At 37.4% G+C, this 22,163-nt stretch overlaps 2 protein-coding genes and 1 long non-coding RNA gene across 13 annotated transcripts in view, besides 1 other annotated feature; 1 reads left to right on the top strand and 2 right to left on the bottom strand.

Moving 5' to 3' along the window:
* Window positions 1-16,338, bottom strand: part of LOC105371619 (uncharacterized) — a 44,005-nt gene extending 27,667 nt beyond the window's left edge. The window contains exons 1-2 of one of the 4 annotated variants that reach the window (XR_007066737.1): window positions 16,009-16,338; window positions 13,177-13,788 (exon numbers count right to left, since the gene is read on the bottom strand). This is a non-coding gene — a long non-coding RNA (uncharacterized LOC105371619). Of the gene's footprint in view, window positions 1-10,901 lie in introns of those variants that run through there. The other 3 variants (XR_007066735.1, XR_922291.4, XR_007066736.1) reach the window with 3 other exon arrangements.
* ANKRD45 (ankyrin repeat domain 45) overlaps window positions 1-22,163 on the top strand; it is a 106,850-nt gene that overhangs the window by 61,143 nt on the left and 23,544 nt on the right. For all 8 annotated transcript variants that reach the window (NR_158771.1, XM_017001123.2, XM_047419195.1 and 5 more), the window contains one exon: window positions 7,030-7,197. Coding sequence is in view for 7 of the 8 variants with exons in the window: in XM_017001123.2 (XP_016856612.1) it covers window positions 7,030-7,197 (168 nt within the window). In the remaining variant the exon portion in view is untranslated. The remainder of the gene's footprint in view (window positions 1-7,029; window positions 7,198-22,163) is intronic.
* Window positions 11,154-12,353: an enhancer, noted in NCBI's record as "BRD4-independent group 4 enhancer chr1:173610829-173612028 (GRCh37/hg19 assembly coordinates)". NCBI's record gives its function as "activates an origin of replication core promoter dependent on BRD2, P300/CBP, MED14 and CDK7 cofactors, and independent of BRD4, by STARR-seq in HCT116 cells {active_cell/tissue: HCT116}" and the evidence as "EXISTENCE:reporter gene assay evidence [ECO:0000049][PMID:35650434]".
* Window positions 16,913-18,705, bottom strand: TEX50 (testis expressed 50). The gene is made up of 2 exons (NM_001195190.3): window positions 18,198-18,705; window positions 16,913-17,216 (listed from the first exon to the last, which is right to left on the bottom strand). The coding sequence occupies exons 1-2, from the start codon at window positions 18,519-18,521 to the stop codon at window positions 17,007-17,009; spliced, it is 534 nt and encodes a 177-aa protein (NP_001182119.1). The 5' UTR covers window positions 18,522-18,705; the 3' UTR covers window positions 16,913-17,006.

The following is a 22,163-nucleotide window of genomic DNA, read 5'->3' as shown; positions in this document are numbered from 1 at the left end:
CCCATCAGTGTGCTGTACTCAGGAGACCCATCTCATGTGCAGAGACACACATATGCTCAAAATAAAGGGATGGAGGAAGATCTACCAAGCAAATGGAAAGCAAAAAAAAAAAAAAAAAAAGCAAGGGTTGCAATCCTAGTCTCTTATAAAACAGACTTAAAACCAACAAAGATCAAAAGAGATAAGGCTATTACATAATGGTAAAGGGATCAATTCAACAAGAAGAGCTAACTATCATAAATATATAGACACCCAATACAGGAGCACCCAGATTCATAAAGCAGGTCCTTAGAGACCTACAAAGAGATTTAGACTCCCAAACAATAATAATGGGAGACTTTAACACCCCACTGTCAACATTAGACAGATCAACGAGACATAAGGTTAACAAGGATATCCAGGACTTGAACTCAGCTCTGCACCAAGCAGACCTAATAGACATCTGCAGAATGCTGCACCCCGAATCAACAGAATATACATTCTTCTCAGTACCATATCACACTTATTCTAAAATTGACCACATAGTTGGAAGTAAAGCACTCCTGAGCAAATGTAAAAGAACTAAAATCACAGCAAACTATCTCCCAGACCACAGTGCAATCAAATTAGAACTCAGGATTAAGAAAGTCACTCAAAACCACACAACTACATGGAAACTGAACAATCTGCTCCTGAATGACTACTGGATAAGTAATGAAATGAAGGCAGAAATAAAGATGTTTTTTGAAACCAGTGAGAACAAAGACACAACATACCAGAATCTCTGGGACACATTTAAAGCAGTGTGTAGAGGAAAATTTATAGCACTAAATGCCCACAAGAGAAAGCAGGAAAGATCTAAAATTAACACCCTAACATCACAATTAAAAGAACTAGAGAAGCAAGAGCAAACATATTCAAAAGCTAGCAGAAGGCAAGAAATAACTAAGGTCAGAGCAGAACTGAAGGAGATAGAGACACAAAAAACCCTTCAAAAAAATCAATGAATACAGGACTTGTTTTTTTGCAAAGATCCACAAAATTGATAGACTGCTAACAAGACTAATAAAGAAGAAAAGAGAGAAGAATCAAATAGACACAATAAAAAATGATAAAGGGGATGTCACCACCGATCCCACAGAAATACAAACTACCATCAGTCAATACTATAAACACCTCTACACAAATAAACTAGAAAATCTAGAATAAATGGATAAATTCCTGGACACATACATCCTCCCAAGACTAAACCAGGAAGAAGTTGAACTGCTGAATAGACCAATAACAGGATCTGAAATTGAGGCAGTAATCAATAGCCTACCAACCAAAAAAAGTCTAGGAGCAGATGGATTGACAGCCGAATTCTACCAGAGTTACAAGGAGGAGCTGGTACTATTCCTTCTGAAACTATTCCAATCAATAGAAAAAGAGGGAATCCTCCCTAACTCATTTTATGATGTCAGCGTCATCCTGATACCAAAGCTTGGCAGAGACACAACCAAAAAAGAGAATTTTAGACCAATATCCCTGATGAACATCGATGTGAAAATCCTCAATATAATACTGGCAAATAGAATCCAGCAGCACATCAAAAGCTTATCCACCATGATCAAGTTGCCTTCATCCCTGGGATGCAAGGCTGGTTCAACATACACAAATCAATAAACATAATCCATCACATAAACAGACCCAATGACAAAAAAACACATGATTATCTCAACAGATACAGAAAAGGCCTTTGACAAAATTCAACAGACCTTCATGCTGAAAACTCTCAATAAACTAGTTATTGATGGAATGTATCTCAAAATAATAAGAGCTATTTATGACAAACCCACAGCCAATATCATACTGAATGGGCAAAAACTGGAAGCATTCCCTTTGAAAACTGGCACAAGACAGGGATGCCCTCTCTCACCACTCCTATTCCACATAGTGTTGGAAGTTCTGGCCAGGGCAATCAGGCAGGAGAAGGAAATAAAGGGTATTCAATTAGGAAAAGAGGAAGTCAAATTGTCCCTGTTTGCAGATGACATGATTGTGTATTTAGAAAACCCCATCGTTTCAGCCCCAAATCTCCTTAAGCTGATAAGCAACTTCAGCAAAGTCTCAGGATACAAAAGCAATGTGCAAAAATCACAAGCATTCCTATACGCCAATAACAGAGAAACAGAGAGCCAAATCATGAATGAACTCCCATTCACAATTGCTACAAAGAGAATAAAATACGTAGGAATCCAACTTACAAGGGATGTGAAGGACCTCTTCAAGGAGAACTACAAACCACTGCTCAACGAAATAAAGGAGGACACAAAGAAATGGAAGAACATTCCATGCTCATGGATAGGAAGAATCAATATCGTGAAAATGGCCATACTGCTCAAGGTGATTTATAGATTCAATGCCATCCCCATCAAGCTACCAATGACTTTCTTCACACAATTGGAAAAAACTACTTTAAAGTTCATATGGAACCAAAAAAGACCCTGCATTGCCAAGACAATCCTAAGCAAAAAGCCAACAAAGCTGAAGGCATCATGCTACCTAACTTCAAACTATACTACAAGGCTACAGTAAGCAAAACAGCATGGTACTGGTACCAAAACAGAGATATAGACCAATGGAACAGAACAGAGGCCTCAGAAATAACACCACACATCTACAATCATCTGATCTTTGACAAACCCGACAAAAACAAGAAATGGGGAAAGAATTCCCTATTTAATAAATGGTGCTGGGAAAACTGGCTAGCCATATGTAGAAACCTGAAACTGCATCCCTTCCTTACACCTTATGCTAAAGTCAATTCAAGATGGATTAAAGATTTAAATGTTAGACCTAAAACCATAAAAACCCTAGAAGAAAACCTAGGCATTACCATTCAGGACATAGGCATGGGCAAGGACTTCATGACTAAAACACCAAAAGCAATGGCAACAAAAGCCCAAATCGACAAACAGTATCTAATTAAACTAAAGAGCTTCTGCTCAGCAAAAGAAACTACCATCAGAGTGAACAGACAACCTACAGGATGGGAGAAAATTTTTGCAATCTGCCCATCTGATAAAGGGCTAATATCCAGAATCTGCAAAGAACTTAAACAAATTTAAAAGAAAAAAACAACCCCATCAAAAAGTGGGCAAAGGATATGAACAGACACTTCTGAAAAGAAGACATTTCTGCAGCCAAAAGACACATGAAAAAATACTCATCATTGTTGGTCATCAGAGAAATGCAAATCAAACCCACAATGAGATACCATCTCACACCAGTTAGAATGGTGATGATTAAAAAGTTAGGAAACAACAGGTACTGGAGAGGATGTGGAGAAATAGGAATGCTTTTACACTGTTGGTGGGAGTGTAAAGTAGTTCAACCATTGTGGAACACAATTTTCCTCAAGGATCTAGAACTAGAAATACCATTTGACCCAGCCATCCCATTACTGGGTATATACCCAAGGGTTTATAAATCATGCTACTATAAAGACACACGCACACGTATGTTTATTGCGGCACTATTCACAATAGCAAAGACTTGGAACCAACCCAAGTGCCCATCAATGATAGACTGGATTATGAAAATGTGGCACATATATACCACGGAATGCTCTGCAGCCATAAAAAAGGATGAGTTCATATCCTGTGCAGGGACATGGATGAAGCTGGAAACCATCATTCTCAGCAAACTATCATAAGGACAGATAACCAAACCGTGTTCTCACTCATATGTGGGAATTGAACAATGAGAACGCTTGGACACAGGGTGGGGAACATCACACACCGGGGTCTATTATAGGGCAGGGGGTTGGTGGAGAGATAGCATTAGGAGAAATACCTAATGTAAATGACGAGTTAATGGGTGCAGCAAACCAACATGGCACATGTATACCTATGTAACAAACCTGCATGTTGTGCATATGTACCCTAGAACTTAAAGTGTAATAATAATAAAATAAGAATTGTAAGACATTTATGGCAAAAAGTATGAAACTTTATTGATTTATATGAAAGACCACACGAAATGTATATATGTCTCAATAGTGAGACTAAATATCATAACGCTGTTTCTCTTAATTTCTTCCCAATTAATTTGTCAGTGTAGTTAATATCTCAGAAGAATCTTTTTAAAAGCAAACTGAGAAGCTGACCCTAAATTTCAGTGGGGAAAATGAACTATTTAATATATGATGCCAGAGAATATTTATTATTCATCTGGAAAAAAATAAAATTATATACCTACTTTGTACCATACATAAAAATCAATTACAGATGATTGTAAGACATGAATGTGTAAAGCAAAATATTTTAAACTTTCTGAAAAATAGAGTATTGCTATATTCTTGAGACATCACAGAATATCTTGAGATATAAAGAACCCAACCACTAAGGGAAAAGATCTGTCTATCTACCTAAATTTTAAACTCTGCATAAAAGATATCATAAACAAAATGACAAAATAAGCCACAGACAAAGGATATATCTATGTAAAGACAGCCTACTAATCAACAGGCTTAGAATTCAACCCAATAGAAAAATAGGCAGAGGATAGGAACATGCAATTTATGGAAGAGAAACTCTCATGGCCAGTAAATAAATGAAAATATGTTTAACTTCACTATTAAAAGCAAATGTAAACAATGGGCTACCATGACTCATCAGATTCAGAAAAATTTAAATATTTGACAGGATTAAACATTGGTAAAGATGTAGGAAATGGGAATTCCTTCACTCTGAGGAGGGAGTATAAATTGGTATAATCCCTTTTGAGAACACTTATATCAAGTTGTTCATGGACATACCTGATGATCCTAATTTCCATTTCTAGATATATGTCTTTGGGAAACTCTCACACATGCTTACAAGAAGACATAAGTATAAGATGATTATTCAAATATTGCTTATAACAGTTAATCATTGGAAATAAACAATAGAAGGGTAGATAAATTGTTTTCATACAATGGAATATTACACAATAATTAAAAGGAATGAATTAGCTCTTTGGGTATTAAAATGGATAACACTTAAAAATATTGAGACAAAAATCAAGTTACAAAAGGATTCTGTAATAGATTGGTTAAGAGCATGGATTTTACAGCCAGACTACCTGAGTTAAAACCCCAGCTTTCCACTAACTTGACTATGTGACTTGGGCAAATTATATAACCTTTCTGTGCTATGGTTTCTTCATCTATAAAAATGAGGATAATAGTAATACCTGAAAACCATACTATATAAAGGAAAAGGAGAGACCCAAATCAATATTTGGCATTGTGTCCCTAACACTATTCAAGGAAGGTAGTATTGTGACTGGTTGACATGAATATTGCCATCTTTTTTGTAGGTATTTTCCAATGTGTGGGAATAGGTGTATAGTCTTTTAGGACTTGATGATACACTCTAAAATATTCTATTTCTTCATTCTGATTCTATGTCATCATGAAACCTTATTTAGAGAGGGGATTCCTAAGCTAAGTGTTGCAGGTGCTCCTGGTTTCTTCTCACTGCTTATAGGAAAATACCAGGGGAAAAATAAATTGAGAAAAGGATAATTTGGGAAATTCCAAGCCTGTCCATATGACAAAGACATGAAAATTAAGATTCACTGTCAGAAAAGCATGCTTCCGAGAAAAAACTGAGTATATGACTCTATAACCTTCTGTTGACATGTTGGATCAAAAAGTTCAGAGTGGCTGGGTGTGGTGGTTCATGCCTGTAATCCTAGCACTTTGGGAGGCCAGGAAAGGACTGCTTAAGCCCAGGAGTTCCAGACGAGCCTGGGCAATATACTGAGACTCTGTCTCTGCAAAATATTTAAAAAATTATTGGCTGGGCATGGTGGCTTATGCCTATAATACCAGCACTTTGGGAGGCTGAGGCAAGTGGATCACGAGGTCAAGAGATCAAGACCATCCTGGCCAACATGATGAAACCCTGTCTCTACTAAAAATACAAAAATAAGCTGGGCGTGGTGCTGCATGCCTGTAGTCCCAGCTACTCCAGAGGCTGAGGCAGAATAGCTTGAACCCGGGACACGGAGGTTGCAGTGAGCCGAGATCGTGCCACCGCACTCCAGCCTGGCAACAGCGAAAGACTCCATCTAAAAAAAAAAAAATATCTGGGCATGCTGGCATGAGCCTATAGTCCCAGCTACTCAGGAAGCTGAGGTGGGAAGATTGCTTGAGCCTAGGAGTTCGAGGCTGCAGTGAGCTATTCATGCCACTGCACTCTAAACTGGGCAACAGAGTGAGACCTGTCTGAAAAAACAGTTTAGAGTATTTAGACACAAAAGATTATGGGATTGACTGTGGTTGTCCCTTTATCACACCAGGAAGCCTCTAGAAAGCTTAAGAGTATTGTCCCTCTGTGCAATAAAGTGAATTGTAGTAAAAAGAAGTATGTATATCCTTGTGAGCAAGTTCAAACAGTGATCTTTAATTTTTAAAAAATCAATCTGAAAAATATTTAAAGATGCCTTCCATATTCTTCTTGTTTACAATTATACCTCATGATAGTCACTTGAGAAAGTCTAAGAAATGACTTTCTAATTTGATAGGCCATAATTTTAGTTTTAATTAATAGAATTTCCAAACCTAAGGTATACACAGTTGTAGTAATTTGTATGATTGTGCTAACAATAATGCTAATTAGAGTTTGATAAAAATTCTTTAAAATCACAGGTCCAGTTGCGTTCAGAATAGGTGACTGCTAGGGAGATTGCCATCTTCCTCCCATGATGTTGAAGAGCTCAGCCTTCAGACAGTCTATGCTGGCATCCATCATTTACTGTTTGCCAGGGATGTTTCCTTGGGCAAGTTTCTTAATCCACCTGGACTTTAGTTTCCTTGTCTATAAAATGAGAACTGTAGTAGTTCTGACATCATAGTGGTTTTATAAAACTAAATGAGTTTTCTATATGTAAGACAGTTAGAATAGTGCCTGGCCCACAGTAATTGTTCAATACTTGATCACCATTATGATCTTCCACTACATAAATTAGCCTAAAACAATGTAGTCTGTTTGATCTCACCATCTTCATTCCATTTGTTAGGGTACACACTCTTACATTGTGCTGCAGCCTGGGGTCGTTTGGAAACTTTGAAAGCACTGGTAGAACTGGATGTTGATATAGAAGCTTTGAACTTCCGGGAAGAAAGGGCTCGAGATGTTGCTGCTAGATATTCTCAGACTGAGTGTGTTGAATTCCTGGACTGGGCAGGTAAGGAAGCTCACAAGGGGTTAGCAAACTGACTGATGTGATGAGTTTTTCTCCTATGAGTTACAGGATATGTCACCTTTTTTCACAGTGTTTTGTTTGTAGATACAACCACAGTCACAGTTGGTGATAATACATGAAATTTCCCCCTCTTTCTTTGTTTTGCTATTGGCCATAAACATTGTATTTATTAGGAACTGAACATATTGGAAGCTAGTTGATTTACCAACTTCTGTCTCACCAATAATTGTCTATGAGAAAATAATTTCTATAAGAAGATTATTGTATGTTCAATATGTATGTTCAAGGCCATTTTTTGAGAGACTCAGGCAAAGTGGGTCATTTCTTAAATGTTTAAAAAATAGCATATTTGAGTAATACATTTGATTCCTCAAATATAAAAGGTTGTAACAATAATTTTAGAAAGGTTTATTTAGGCTAAATTAATTTATAGTGCTAATAGTCAGAATAGTAGCTACCCTTACGGCATGGGGAACTTCTGGGATGTAATGTTCTTTTTCTTAACCTGGTTGCTGGTACATGGGTATGTTTCTTTGAAAATTCATTGAGCTGTATGCATGGTTTTTGTACTTTTCTGTTTGTAAGTTATACTTCAATACGAAGTTCAAAAAATAGTACTATTTTGAATTTGCTAATATTTTGCATATATACTTCCACAACCCTGTAAAGTATAGCTTAAAGAGATTTCAGGAAGATGTACCTTTGTAACTAAGCTAGTATTTATGAAGTTTACAGCATTTATTTTGCATGGTTATCTGCATTCCTGTTTTTAGCAAGCATTTATTGAATTCCCATTGTGAGCATAGTATTGCTGTAGATACAATTGGTTGTTCCTACCCTCTGGATATTTGTTAGGTGGGAGATTATAAGTTATGGACACATTCAACAATTATATAAAAATATCAGAAAGACTGTGATTAAAGGTTAAAATTGGCAGAGCAAGTATTCTGTGCTATAGAGTGGTGGAAGAATAGGAAGTCAGAGCATGTTGGGCTTGAGCTGGGCCTTGAAGAATGGATGGGATTTGAATATGCAATAGAGAGGGAAAGGGCATGAGCAAAATCTTAGAGCTGTGAGTGAAAGTGGCATGTTGGAGGATGGTGACAAGATTGCCTTATTGAGTAGTAGGTCATAGTTTCCACAGGTAGGCTATAACATAGGTAGAATAATAAAAGGGTTAATACATGTCTTCTTGAGATTGAGTTTAAATACTGGTGTCCCTACTTGAAACCTATGTGACCTTGGACAAGGTGCTTAAATTCTCTATACCTCAGTTTCCTTCTCTGAAAAAGGGGCAAATAATATAGTTCCCACCTTTTGTGGATTGCTGTGAAAATTAAATGAGATGATATAAAGCAGTTACCACAATACCTGGCATGTGGTCAGCACTTGAAAAATGCTGCTGCTTTTATTACACCATACCCTTAAATGCCAGGCTAAGGTGTTTTTATTTTATTCTGGGAGCCACTGAAAATTGTTATGTAGAAGAGGAAGAGGATGAAAGTGAACTTGAGGAAGTTTCAGCTGGTAGTGGTAAGATGCATGTTCATCAATAAAATGAGAAAGGGACTAGAATAATTGATAGAAACAAGGAACTTGAAGGAAACACATTTGGGAAGAAAGAGATGAGTTGTGCTTTGTAGATTATTTTTATAATTAACTGTCCACTTGAACTAAATATTTTCTATAAGCAATCTTATGTCAATATCTTCTATTTTTATGATTAGATCTGTAAGTAAAAGGAAAACACAAATAGCAAATAATTCAATTGATTCCCCCCATGAATAGTAATTTTAGGTGAAATTCACATTCCATAATTTTTTTTTTTTTTTTTGAGATGGAGTTTCGCTCTTGTTGCCCCAGCTGGAGTACAATGACGTGATCTTGACTCACTGCAACCTATGCCTCCCGGGTTCAAGTGATTCTCCTGCCTCAGCCTCCCAAGTAGCTGGTATTACAGGCATGTGCCACTATGGCTGGCTAATTTTTATATTTTAAGTAGAGACAGGGTTTCACCATGTTGGTCAGGCTGGTCTCGAACTCCTGATCTCGTGATCTGCCCTCCTTAACCTCCCAAAGTGCTGGGATTACAGGCATGAGCCACCATGCCCAGCCCACATTCCATAATTTAAAATCCATTTTTGAAAAATGACCCATAGTACTTAAAAATCACAATTCAAGGACAAATTTTGCTGTAACTTTTCTGAAAAATTTTTTGGGGCTTATGGATGTGAGGTATTATTGGCTTCCTTCTTCATAATATCCATCTGTTTAATTTGAGTCCTTAGGTTCTTGGAGCAATTATACCGAATATGTCTTAGTGGTGAAAAGAAATGAAAACTATAAAAAGCAAACTAGTATTGTGTTTCCAGATCAATGATTAAATTAATATTGGAGTTTCATAGTAATGTAGCTGTGGAATGTCAGAAACATAAATAACTCAACATAAAATTTAACATTTATTTAATTCAGCCTTACTATTTGTTTAATTCAGTCTTATTCAGAATGGAGTTTCATAGTAATGTAGCTGTGGAATGTCAGAAACATAAATAACATAAAATTTAACATCTATTTAATTCAGTCTTATCAAGAATGTATGTCACTTCTGTTTCTTCTAGTGATTACAGTAGGAGTTACCTGGGGAGACTTAAAGGATTCAGAAATCCCTACCCCAAATAGTCTTCTGCATTCTACTGAAAATTCCATTATTAGAGATAAATTTCTCTGGGTTTTAGAGGTTTGGGGATTTTTAAAGTCTTCAACAGTTCACCATTAGAATAAATGTATATTAATATTCTCTTAGAGGGAATTAGCTAACATTTCAGAACTCTGAAAGTATGAAACAAACATTTCTAGAAATGTGAAGGTGGGGTTGTGCTAAGGAGGAACGGAGGTAAAGGGAGTCTGGAAAGTGGAACAAAATAAACCTTTCGTAATCCATAATAGCCCAAGCCAGGTACTATTCTTTTCCGTTACTTATAAAACTGTAAAGTTTATTACTGTTTCAAGTATTATTTTTGAAAAGTTTTTTTCCTCCTTATAATGATGGCAGATATGTTATAGATATATTTTTTCTGGGATTTTTCAAGATACTTTAAGTCAAATCTTCTGTCCCAGTCTCAGGCCTATCTCCTAGCTGTTCTTTGAAAAATACGGTAACCATAGTTTAAAAAATTGAATTGTCTTGTCAACAAAAGTCTGAAATTAAAAAAACATTAATCTATAATCATTTATTATACTGAAAATGAAAACATTTATACTTAAAAATTAATATATTCTTTAATATTTCCATGCTATTTTAGCAATCTGAAGTAGGAAATTAAAAGTCTTCCTGTGGTTATAAAATTTTCTCAGGAAGCCTGGGTGCAGTGGCTCACACCTGTAATCCCGGGACTTTGGGAGACCAAGGCAGGTGGATCATGAGGTCAGAAGTTCAAGACAGCCTGGCCAAGATGGTGAAACCCCATCTCCACTAAAAATACAAAAATTAGCTGGGCACAGTGGCAGGAGCCTGTAATCCTAACTACTCGGGAGGCTGAGGCAGGAGAATCGCTTGAACCAGGGTGGCAGAGGTTGCAGTGAGCCAAGATGGAGCCACTACACTCCAGCCTGGGTGACAGAGTGAGACTCTGTCTCAAAAAAAAAAAAAAAAAAAATTCTCAGGCAAATAAGACAAGTCACAGATATTATTTATCAGAGATGTATTGAAACACTAAATTAAGCTTCTATTCTATATATAATCTAACACATTAAAAATAACAAAACACTTAAACATGTAGCAGTGATAGTATATGTTGGGAACAGGTGGTTGGTGTCACAAAAATCAACACTGAGACAAAGGATCTCTCAGCAAGGCTAGTTTACTTTCTGCAGAAAGGGTTGCTGCTCGCTAGCAGTCTTGCCACAAGAGCGCACACGAAGAAAAGAGACAGGGTCATTTATAACCTGATGCATCCACCCTGCTGCTGTGTCCGGTTTCCATTGGCTGGAATAGGACCTCACATTCTGTACTCAACCTGATTGGCTAGCAACTTAGAACTTCCCAAAAGAGGCAAAGGCAGAGGAGAACAAAGGAAGAGAGGAATTAACCTGTGGAATGCTGAGAGAGGCAAAAACACTTACAAATAAGGAAAGAGAAACAGGCTATGACCTCATGCTTGCTTGGACCTCTTCAGGCATGCCCAGGCAAATATCTAGGCTAAAATGTGGAGCTAAGAACAGAGTATATTGATTTCTTTATTACAGCTAGCAGAATTTAAGAATATTAGCACAGGTCTTTGAGTAAATTTTGCTTCTAAGAGAGGTTACTATCTATTCTGAAGTAGACTGGGAGGAATGTCCCTTTGAAGAGGAACCTCTATTTCATTTTCTACAATTCCCCCCTCTTTTATTTTATAATTCCTCTTTAAACTTGTTTAACATGTCTTGACTCAGTTGCTCTGTTTGTCCTTTTAAGAGAAGTAATCTTTCTGAATAGGGTGAAGAAAAGTTAGGAATTAACTTTGTAAGAGTGGCAGAGACAAGTTTTTGTATAAAACTTTGAAGGCAGGTAATAATACAACAGCCTATGAGAATAAGTACACCAATAACAAGAGCTAACGAGGTGAGAATTGAAGTGAAAATCCCTTTCCATCCCCTGAACCAATGTTCTGTCTTTTAGAAAAAGGATCATCTAATCCAGAATTTTTGGCAAGTTCATTGGATAGGGCTGTTAATCCTTGTAGCACTCTTGTTATAGTTCCATCAGGGGTAGTATTATTAGGAATAAAGGTACAACATTGAGTTTCAATCATTATGCAAACACCTCCTTTTTCTGCTAATATCATATCTAAGGCTATTCTATTTTTCCAGGCCATCTGGCTGGTAGGTCTTATTTGCTCAGCTATCCCTTCGATGGAGTCCCTAGTATAATTTATGAATCATTGCTGATTGTAATATAGTTTATCCAGTCTATATTTTTATTTATAGATATGTAGTTAACCACCAGAACAATGTAGATTCAAATCCTGTAGCTATTTGATTCCATGCTTTAAACTTATCTGGCACTCCTCATGGGACCCCAATAGCATCTATGTAAACCTGAGGATCAAAGGACTCAAATGGAGTTTCCCTTGGCCTGCAGTGTCTTGTTTTTACTTTCGCAGACTGACGAAATGCCAGGGTGAAGGGGATAGTCAATTGGATTAGAGCACAAGTACCACTCCAATTATAAGGCAGAGTGTCCAGTAAAGGTCCTCCACAGTACCATCATACAGCTCGGGGACTGATGAACAAGCTTCTGGAAAGGCCTGAGCTCCTTGCATCTTTTTATGCTTCCAAGGAACACTAAATTCTCCCCTTGCCATGAGAGGCAGGAAGTAAACTTGGCATTTAGAGGTGGAAGCTGGATTGCCCTCTGGGCCTGACCCTCAGTGTGTTGAACTTCAGGAAACAGCAGAGAGAGCTTGGCATGATGGATTATCCCAAGCAGTGGGATTCTGGAAGAGAGCCACCATACAGTCCATGCTTGGTCAACGAGGAGCCCATCCAAGTGGAAAGGGGACAGTCTGGGCCTCTGGCCTACCGTGTGCACAAGCGTAACAATCGCTTTTATTTAAAGTGCGAATGGAATATTTAATCGATTTCAGCCAGGCATTTGCATCTTGATATCCTATCTCAATGGCTAAGGTCTGTCTTAAGATATTTCACTTTCACAATAGACACCCTAGTTTTATCATTAGGTGTAGGAGCAACTGGTGTGGGATTTAAAACTGAGGCTACCGAAGAAGGGGAAGACTGGGGAATAATGCATATCTCAAAAATGCCTAGGGGGTCTTTCCCATTTACATCAATCCCCATACCATAGAAGTGAACAAGGGCAAGTTTAGAATCAGTTAAGGTGGAGGTGGTGAGAGAGAGAAGGACAGGGTTACACTGATAAGGCTGACAGAAATAGGTGAGGGATTTTAGATTTGCACAAACCTCTTCCGTGGAAGTCTAACCTTGCTCCTGAGTAGTTCAAAGGACATAGTTCCAGCTACTGCAAGGTTGCCAGGCTGTAGGAGCAGACAATTGGTGTCTCAGCTGCAGGCGATCACAACTATGAGAGCTAGGAATAACTGTGTCAGTTAGAGGGCTGGGGCATAAATATTTGTGTGAAAAGGCTAGCTGTCATTGATCTTTCACATCTCCACAAGGTGTGACAGAGCAAGCATTAAAGGCAATGGTCTGAGGTGAGTCAGACTTAGTTACATTAATAACAAAGGAGCTAGTAACAGAATAAGGAAAGGAAAGGAAGCAATATAGAAGGTATATAAAAATTAAGCTTTCTTTAACTTCAACTTGGTAGGACTCAATCCTGGTACAGCAACCCATGATTCTGACGAGGAAGCTGCTTTCTTAACTAGAGTATGGTGGGTCCATCCTTTCTCAGCTGTGCGGACGGCAGTCTCGGTGGTTAACAGCACCAGATAGGGGCCTTCCCAGGTGGGCTCGAGTTTCCCTTCCTTCCACCCTTTGATGAGAAGGTGGTCCCTGGGTTGGTGCTGGTGTGCTGGAAATTCTAGTGGTGGCCTGTGCTAAGAGACCTTTGACCTTAAGAGAAGAAAAGGTAGAGGAGAGACCAAGTATATAATTGCTCAGGAACTGATCCTTAGTTTTAAACACAGGAACATCAGCTTAGGAATGTAAATAAGGCAATCCATATAACATTTCATATGGAGACAGGCCTATATCCTTTCAGGGAGCTGTCCTGATCCTCAATAAGGCAATGGGAAGACATTTGGTCCACAGTAAATGAGTTTCTAGAACTAATTTGGTTAAATGGTTCTTTAAAGTCTGATTCATCCTTTCTACCCTCCCTGATGAAGGTGGATGCCAAGGGGTATGATACTCCCATCTAATGTTTAAAACCTGGGATAGCTTCTTAATGACATGGGCTGTGAGATAGGTTCCATTGTCTGAGTCAATATTCTCTATTAGCCCAAATTTGGGCACTATATTCTCAATTAATGCTTTAACTACATTATTAGCTGTTGCATTTGAAAAGGAGGTAGCTTCAATCTAGTGAGTTGAGCTGATCTACTATTACCAACAAATACTTGAGGCAAACGATTGGAGTCATTTCAGTGCAGTTCATTTGAACACTTTGGAATGGCCTTAGTCCTGGATCCCTCCCCCTTGGAGGTGATTTCTTTATGACTTGTTTGTTGGTTTTCTTAACATTTTAGACAACTATTTGTAACTTGCTTGGCTAGGGTATAAATTCCTATACACCCATGAAGGCTGAGAACCATGGTTAAGAACTCCCTTATGAGAGGTTTGGATAACATCTCCCTTTGATCTGGTAGTATCCATTTTCCTTCTGTGTTCTCTTTAGCTTCTATTTTTATTAACTTTTCCTTTTTTAGTGGAAGAGAAGATGGGGACTGCAGTAGGGGAAGGAAGGCAAGGAGTTAAGTGAAAGGCATTTTAGAAGAAACAGCAGCTTGTTTGGTTATCTGATCTGCAAGGTCATTTGGTTATTTCCCTGACTTGTGAAAGAAAAGTCCTTTATGCCCTGGGACATGTACAATAGCTATCTCTTCTGGCAACTGGAGATTGTCTAGGACACGAAAAATTAGTTCTTTGTGGACTAGATCTTGGCCTTTACTGTTAATAAGACCTTGCTCAGCCCAAATTTTTCTAACTGTATGTGCCACGCCAAAGGCATACTTAGAATCAGTATAAACAGTTCCTTCTTTGTTCTGCAAATGTTTCAAAGCTTGGTTGAGTGCAAACAGGACACAGGTTTGGGCAGACTAATTATTGGGCAGTCTTCCTGACTCTACTTCTTCAAGAGTTTCTCCATCAATTACTGAATACCTATTATGTTTTTCTCCTTTGACTATTTTGGGGGAACCATCTATAAACCAGTGCCGTCCTGTTTTAAAAGGGGCCTCTCCTAGATCTGGCCTGACTTTTGTTTGGTAGTCAGTCAAATCTAGACACGAGTGTTTTTTAAATTTGGGTCTCCTGCCAAGAAACCCGCTGGGTTGAGTGAATTATCAGTAGTCAAGGGTAAATCATCTTTTTCTAGCAAAATAGCCTTATATTTCAAGATTCTGGAGTCAGTAAGCCACCTTCCTGCTTTTTGATTTAAAATAGCTCTAACTTGGTGGGGCGTGCTTACAGTTAATCTCCCCCCAAAGGTTAATTTTCTACTTTCTTCAACTAATATTGCTGTAGCCACAGGTGTTTATCTTCCCTGTCTTACTCGAAACATTTCCTATCTTGAAGTTTTGGGGTGGTGCCTGGGATAGGCCCTTTCCCTGGAGCTTTCAACCCCCCTTGCTCCTTGCTGGAGGTTTCTAGCACTCCTGGATATGGCAGCGGCAGGGGGCTGGGGGTGGCTCAACCTCTCCTACTAGAGGCTTCTTGCCCTTCCTTCCTTTGGAGGCTTGCCAAGGGCCTTTTCCCATGTTGGATCCTAGATAGGCCCAATCCCTTGTGCTAGGGATGTCTCGCCTATTCTTTTCCCGGCAAGGCTCAATCCCCCAGATTCTTCAGACTGGGGATGTCTTGGCTGTCCCATCCTTAAAGGCTTGTGAAAGGCTCAATCTCTCACACCAGAGATGTCTCGCCGATTCTCTTTCCCTGGGAGGTTAACCTTCCTCCTTTTCCCTTTCGGTGGTTCCTTACACCCTTCCTGTTTGTGTTCATGCACTCTGTCCAGCAACAGACTGGTAGTCGTTCACACACACACACACACACACTCAGCCTCCAAAAGCTGACCACCAAGGAAATACTTTGCCACCCTCTTGCAGCTTTTCCTACCTTGGCCCGTGCATGGAGTCACCTGGTCACTGTGGTCCTGCAAGCCTCTCTCTTTCCCTGCGTTGCTGAGAATCCAACTATATTCCTTGCTCCGGGTAGGTCCTGGCTGTCCTCCAGGGGCTGCTACAATGGGCAGTGGGGCACCTCCCCATGAGAGAGGACCAAAGACTGTCCCAGAGGGGAATGTTAATCCCCTACGGGCCACCAAATTGTTGGGAACGGGTGCTTAGTGTTGCAAAAATCAACACTGAGACAAAGGATCTCTCAGCAAGGCTAGTTTACTTTCTGCAGAAAGGGTGCTGCTTGCTAGCAGTCTTGCCACACACCAACAAAAGAGACAGGGTAATTTATAACCTGATGCATCCACCCTACTGCTGTGTCCGGTTTCCATTGGCTGGAATGGGACCTCACATTCTGTACTCAACCTGATTGGCTAGCAACTTAGAACTTCCCAAAAGAGGCAAAGGCAGAGGAGAACAAAGGAAGAGAGGAATTAACCTGTGGAATGCTGAGAGAGGCAAAAACACTTACAAATAAGGAAAGAGAAACAGGCTATGACCTCATGCTTGCTTGGACCTATTCAGGCATGCCAGGGCAAATACCTATGCTAAAATGTGGGAGCTAAGAACAGAGTATATTGATTTCTTTATTACAGCTAGCAGAATTTAAGAATATTAGCACAGGTCTTTGAGTAAATTTTGCTTCTAAGAGAGGTTACTATCTATTCTGAATTAGACTGGGAGGAATGTCCCTTTGAAGAGGAACCTCTATTTCATTTTCTACAGTATACAATTTCTTCTCTAGTACTTTAGTAAGTCCGGGTTCTTTTTTAATTGAATGGGAAGTAACATTTCAACCCAGGCTTCTTTGGAAAATTTTAGTAAAGATTGTGGCAAAAAGTTTATAAAGGTTTCCAAAGAACAATTTTTAATCCTTAGATGATAGATTTCTTTTGTGATATCTATAATTGACTAAGCTACATTTGCATATGCATTTATTTAGTATCTTCTGGCTCCTTCTTCTTTACTCTTCTTCTTTAATTTGCAGTGCTTAATTTTCTTAGAGGAAGGATGGTGAGACCTGTGCTCCCAGATCTTGTATATCACTGATGCTGTGGTTGCCACTCTGTGGAGTGTTTGGTCAATGTTGTTGATCAATGGGCTTTCTAGATCATTACCAGGTTTTTCTAAGGAGGCTTGCTTTTTCAGCTAAAAGGAGAAAAACAATACAGATTTTATCTACATAAAACAGTAGAGTTCAATACTATAGTATAGTTAATAATATAGTTCAAATTAAATTTATGTTCTAAATATGTAAACAAACCTTATTAAAACAGCACACATCAATTATTTATACTAAAGGAAGGTTACTATAGAAGTAAGGTATAAGTGCAGAGGAAATGTTATCTATATGCCACATGTATGATCCTTATCACCATCAGCAAACAATTAGTGTGTCCTATGTTTAGGGTACTCTCTTGGGAGAAATTATTTGATTAGCAAAATGTATTCGTTTATGAAAGAACCTCAAGGTATAACACCATAAAGTAATAGTCATTTTAAAAATAAGAAAACATTTATAAATATCTAATTCTTCTGAAGGTCAATGAGGTTTTGTTTGTTTTTTGATCAAAGAGCTTTTAAGGTTGCCTCTCAAACTATGGTGTCATCTATTGGCAAAGTGGGAAATTATGTAATAGTTTAAAAGCTCCATTTCTCAGAAAGTTGTTCTAATATTAGCAATTAGTTTATAGCCCATATAAAAATTACATGACACCTTTTGTACTTAGATTTCTTAGATACATCTGAAAGGGTTCTAAGAGATCTCTTGTTACAGATCCTTTTGTGGATGAGGCAACTGAGATAGAGCAAATGACTTACCTAAGGACCCAGACAGATAACTTGATTTTCCATACATTCTCCTCATGGTAGCACACTACTTTTTTTGGTGTGTTTTGTAACTTGAAGTAGAGGGGGCTAGATGATTCTAAGGACCTTCTAATTCAATACACATTTGTTGAACACCTAGTATGAGCAAGATACTGTGCTAGATGCTGGGAATGAATGGGAAGTTGGGGGAAGGTTACAATGAGGAATAAAACACGGTACCCTCTCTCAAAGAAACTAGTAATATTATGTTCTAAACCCTTAGAGATTTTGTAACTATTACTACTTGTATCACGAATTCACCTTTTTTTGGTGTTTCTTCCATTTCTTCCACAGGTAATGCACAGACAAAACAAATAAGACGAAGAAGACAGCTTGTAATAAATTATAAATGAGATATAAACAACCCTGAAATATATCCATGTTAGCAAAGTCGCAGCATAGTTTATCCAGAAGATAAGGCAGGCAGTGAGATGGAGAACCCTTAACTTTCCAATAATGTACTTCTTCTGGAAGAATCTCCCATCCAACCTTTGTCCAGACAGTTCCATCACAAATGCAGAAACTCTCCCCGAAGAAGCAGATAAACAACAGAGAAAAAATCAGCGGTAGTCTTTGATTAGACATCCTTCTTTGTCAATTGAAAAAAAAGTAGCTAAAATTTAGCTATTTTAAAATAGCTAAATTAGCTAAATAATAAAATAAAATAACTAAATTCCCTACGAAGGGAAGCAGAAAATACCAGGAGCTATTAGTTAAAATGGTGCTTCAATAAAAGCACTTCATATAACCTTGCCAGTCAGCAAAATATGCCCAGCAAAGGATACAGTGATGATCATTGTAACATCATCAGTCATAGTGACTCAGGGATAAGTTCAGTGACATCATAAATAACCACATTGGAACTAAAAGGTGTCACCTGACCAATCACATTGAGTTTCTTAAAGATACTTTTTTGTTGTTGTTGTGTTGTTGTTTTGCCAGAATGGTTTGAGCTTCTTCAATTTTCTTAAAAGTGAACACTTTACTAATATTTTGCTAGCTAATAAATTCAACTATAGTCATATTAATAGAATCTTATGGAAACAATTTACTCATGTCACCTCTAACATTTCTTCTGAAGCACTGCAGTTTTACATTTACTTAAAAAATAGTATACCACTTCACATAACCCAGCATCTGCTTTTATTTTTTTGTTTGGGAATGTCCTTCCCTTCAAATAGTTCAACAAATATTGAGTGCCTGTCCCTTATAATATATTCCTGTGGTGGTGATGTGGTACTATCAGGTAGTGGGTGAGGGGTGAGGAAGGTGGCATGGTATATGATAAAAAGATGGGACATAGACCTTGCCTTTAAGGAGTGTACAATCTAGAGGTAAAAGCAAAAAGTAATATAATAATTAAAATGATTCTGATTTTATTATAAAAAATAAATAGTTCTCATTTTACTAAATCTAAAAAATTTTAGATTTTACTAAATGAGAACTAAATAAAATTATAATCACATAACTGTTGAGAGGGCAATGAGTCCCACTTGGGGGAATTAGGAAATTTTGCAGAAAAAGATATGTGAGTAGGCTTTGAAGAATGAGTAGAATTTTTATAGGTGGCAGTGTAGAGAGGGTATCTAAGATTGGGGAAGCATAATAAGCAAAGACATTTTGTGTAAGCATTCATATAACAAATATTTGCTGAGTGCTGACTGTGTGCTAAACATTGTTCTAGGAGCTGAGAATATATACACAACGTAGCCCAAAACAGAATCATTACCTTCATGGAGTTTACTTTCTAGTAGGGAGATACAGAAAATAATTGTATCTATCTAAATCTATATGTCTGTATCTGTGGAGTGCTATGGTGATATGATATGTCATTGTAGTTTTGATTTGCATTTCTCTGGATGATCAGTGATGTTGATCACCTTTTCATATACTGGTTTGCCATTTTGTATGTCTTTTGAGAAATGTCCATTCACATCTTTTGCCCATTTAAAAAAATAGGATTATTAGATTTTTTTCCTATTGAGTTGTTAGAGCTGCTTATATATTCTGGTTATTAATCCCTTGTCATATGAGTAGTTTTATTCCATTCTGTGGGTTGCCTCTTCACTTCGTTGATTGTTTCCTTTGCTGTGCAGAAGCTTTTTAACGTAATAATCCCATTTGTCGATTTTTTCTTTGGTTGCCTCTGCTCGTAGGGTATTACTGAAAAAATCTTTGCCCAGACCAATATCCTGGAGACTTTCCCAAATGTTTTCTTACAGTAGTTTCATAGTTTGAGGTCTTATATTTAAGTCTTTAATTCAGTTTGATTTAATTTTTGTATATGGTGAGAGATGGGGTCGAGTTTCATTCTTCTGCTTATGGATATCCAGTTTTCCCAGCACCATTTATTGAAGAGACTGTCCTTTCCCCAATGTATGTTCTTGGCACCTTCGTCAAAAGTGAGATTTATAGATTTATTTCTGGGTTCTCCATTCTGTTCCATTGGTCTATGTGTCTATTTTTAGGCCAGTCCCATGCTGTTTTGGTTACTATAGCTCTGTAGTATAATTTGAAGTCAAGTAATGTGATTCCTTCAGTTTTTATGTTTTTGTTTTGCTCAGGATGTCTTTGGCTATTCTGGGGCTTTTGTGGTTCCATAAAAATTTTAGTATTGTTTTTTCTATTTCTGTGAAGCATGTCGTTGGTATTTTGATACCAATGCATTGAATCTGTACATTGCTTTGGGTAGTATGAGCATTTTAACAATATTGATTCTTCCAATCTATGAACATGGAATGTCTTTCCATTTTTTATGTCCTCTTCAGTTTCTTGCATCAGTCTTTTATAGTTTTCATTATAGAGATTTTTCACTTTTTGGGTTAAGTTTATCCCAAAGTATTTTATTTTCTTTGTATGTATTGTAAATGGAGTTACTTTCTTGATTTTTTTTTCAGATTGTTCACTGTTGGCCTGTAGAAATACTACTGATTTTTGCATGTTGATTTTGTATCCTGTAATTTTACTGAATTTGTTTATCAGTTCTAATAATTGTTTGGTGGAGTCTTTACACTTTTCCAAATATAAAATTATATCAGCCGGAATCAAGGATAATTTTACTTCCTCCTTTCCAATTTGGATGCCCTTTATTTTCTTCTCTGATTGCTCTAGGTAAGACTTCCAACACTATATTGAATAACAGTGGTGAAAGTGGGCATTCTTGTCTTATTCCAGATCTTAAAGGAAAGGCTTTTAGTTTTTCCTGTTCTATATGACACCAGCTGTGGGTCTGTCATATGTGGCTTTGATTGTGTTGATGTATGTTCCTACTATACCCAGTTTTTTGAGGATTTTTACATGAAGGAATATTAAATTTTAGCCTCAATTAAAATGATCATATGGTTTGTGTCCTTCATTCTGTTGATATGATGTATCACATTAATTGATTTGCATTTGTTGAAACATCCTTGCATCCTTGGGATAAATGTCACTTGGTCATGATGATAGTCATGATGAATGGTCTTTTAAATGTGTGGTTGAATTCAGTTTGATAGCATTTTGTTGAGGATTTTTGCATCAGTGTTCATCAGGGAGATTGGCTTGTAGTTTTGGGGTTTTGTTTTGTTTTTTTTTTTTTTGATGTGTCTTTGTCCGGTTTTCATATCAGGGTAATAATGGCTCTGTAAAATGTATTTGGAAGTATTTCCTCCTTCTCTATTTTTCAGAATAGTTTGAGTAGGAATGGTACTAGTTCTTTAAGTGTTTGGTAAAACTTGGCATGAAGCTATTGGGTCCTGGGCTTTTCTTTGCTTGGAGACTTTTTATTACAGCTTTGATCTCATTACTTGTTATTGGTTTATTCAGGTTTTGGATTTCTTCATGGTTTAAACTTGCAGGTTGTATGTGTCTAGAACTTTATCCATTTATCTTAAGTTTTCCAATTTATTGACATATATTTGCTCATAGTAGCCTCTAATGATCTTTTGAATTTCTGTGGAATTGGTTGTAATGTCTTCTTTTTCATTTTTTTCTGATTTTTAAAATTTGGGCCTTTCTTTTTTTCTTAGTCTGGCTAATGGTTTGCCAATTTTGTTTATCTTTTCAAAAAACCAACTTTTCATTTCATTGATCTTTTGAATTTTTTTAAAATTTCAATTTCATTAATTTTTGTTCTGATCTTTTTTATTTATTTTCTTCTACTAATTTTGGGTTTGGTTTGCTCTTGCTTTTCTAGTTCTTTAAGATGTATTGTTAAGGTGTTTATTTGAAGTTTTTGTATTTTTTTAA

The sequence above is a fragment of the Homo sapiens genome, chromosome 1 (assembly GCF_000001405.40).
Source record: "Homo sapiens chromosome 1, GRCh38.p14 Primary Assembly".
Taxonomy (NCBI): domain Eukaryota; kingdom Metazoa; phylum Chordata; class Mammalia; order Primates; family Hominidae; genus Homo; species Homo sapiens.
This window is presented reverse-complemented; position numbering and strand designations above follow the sequence as displayed.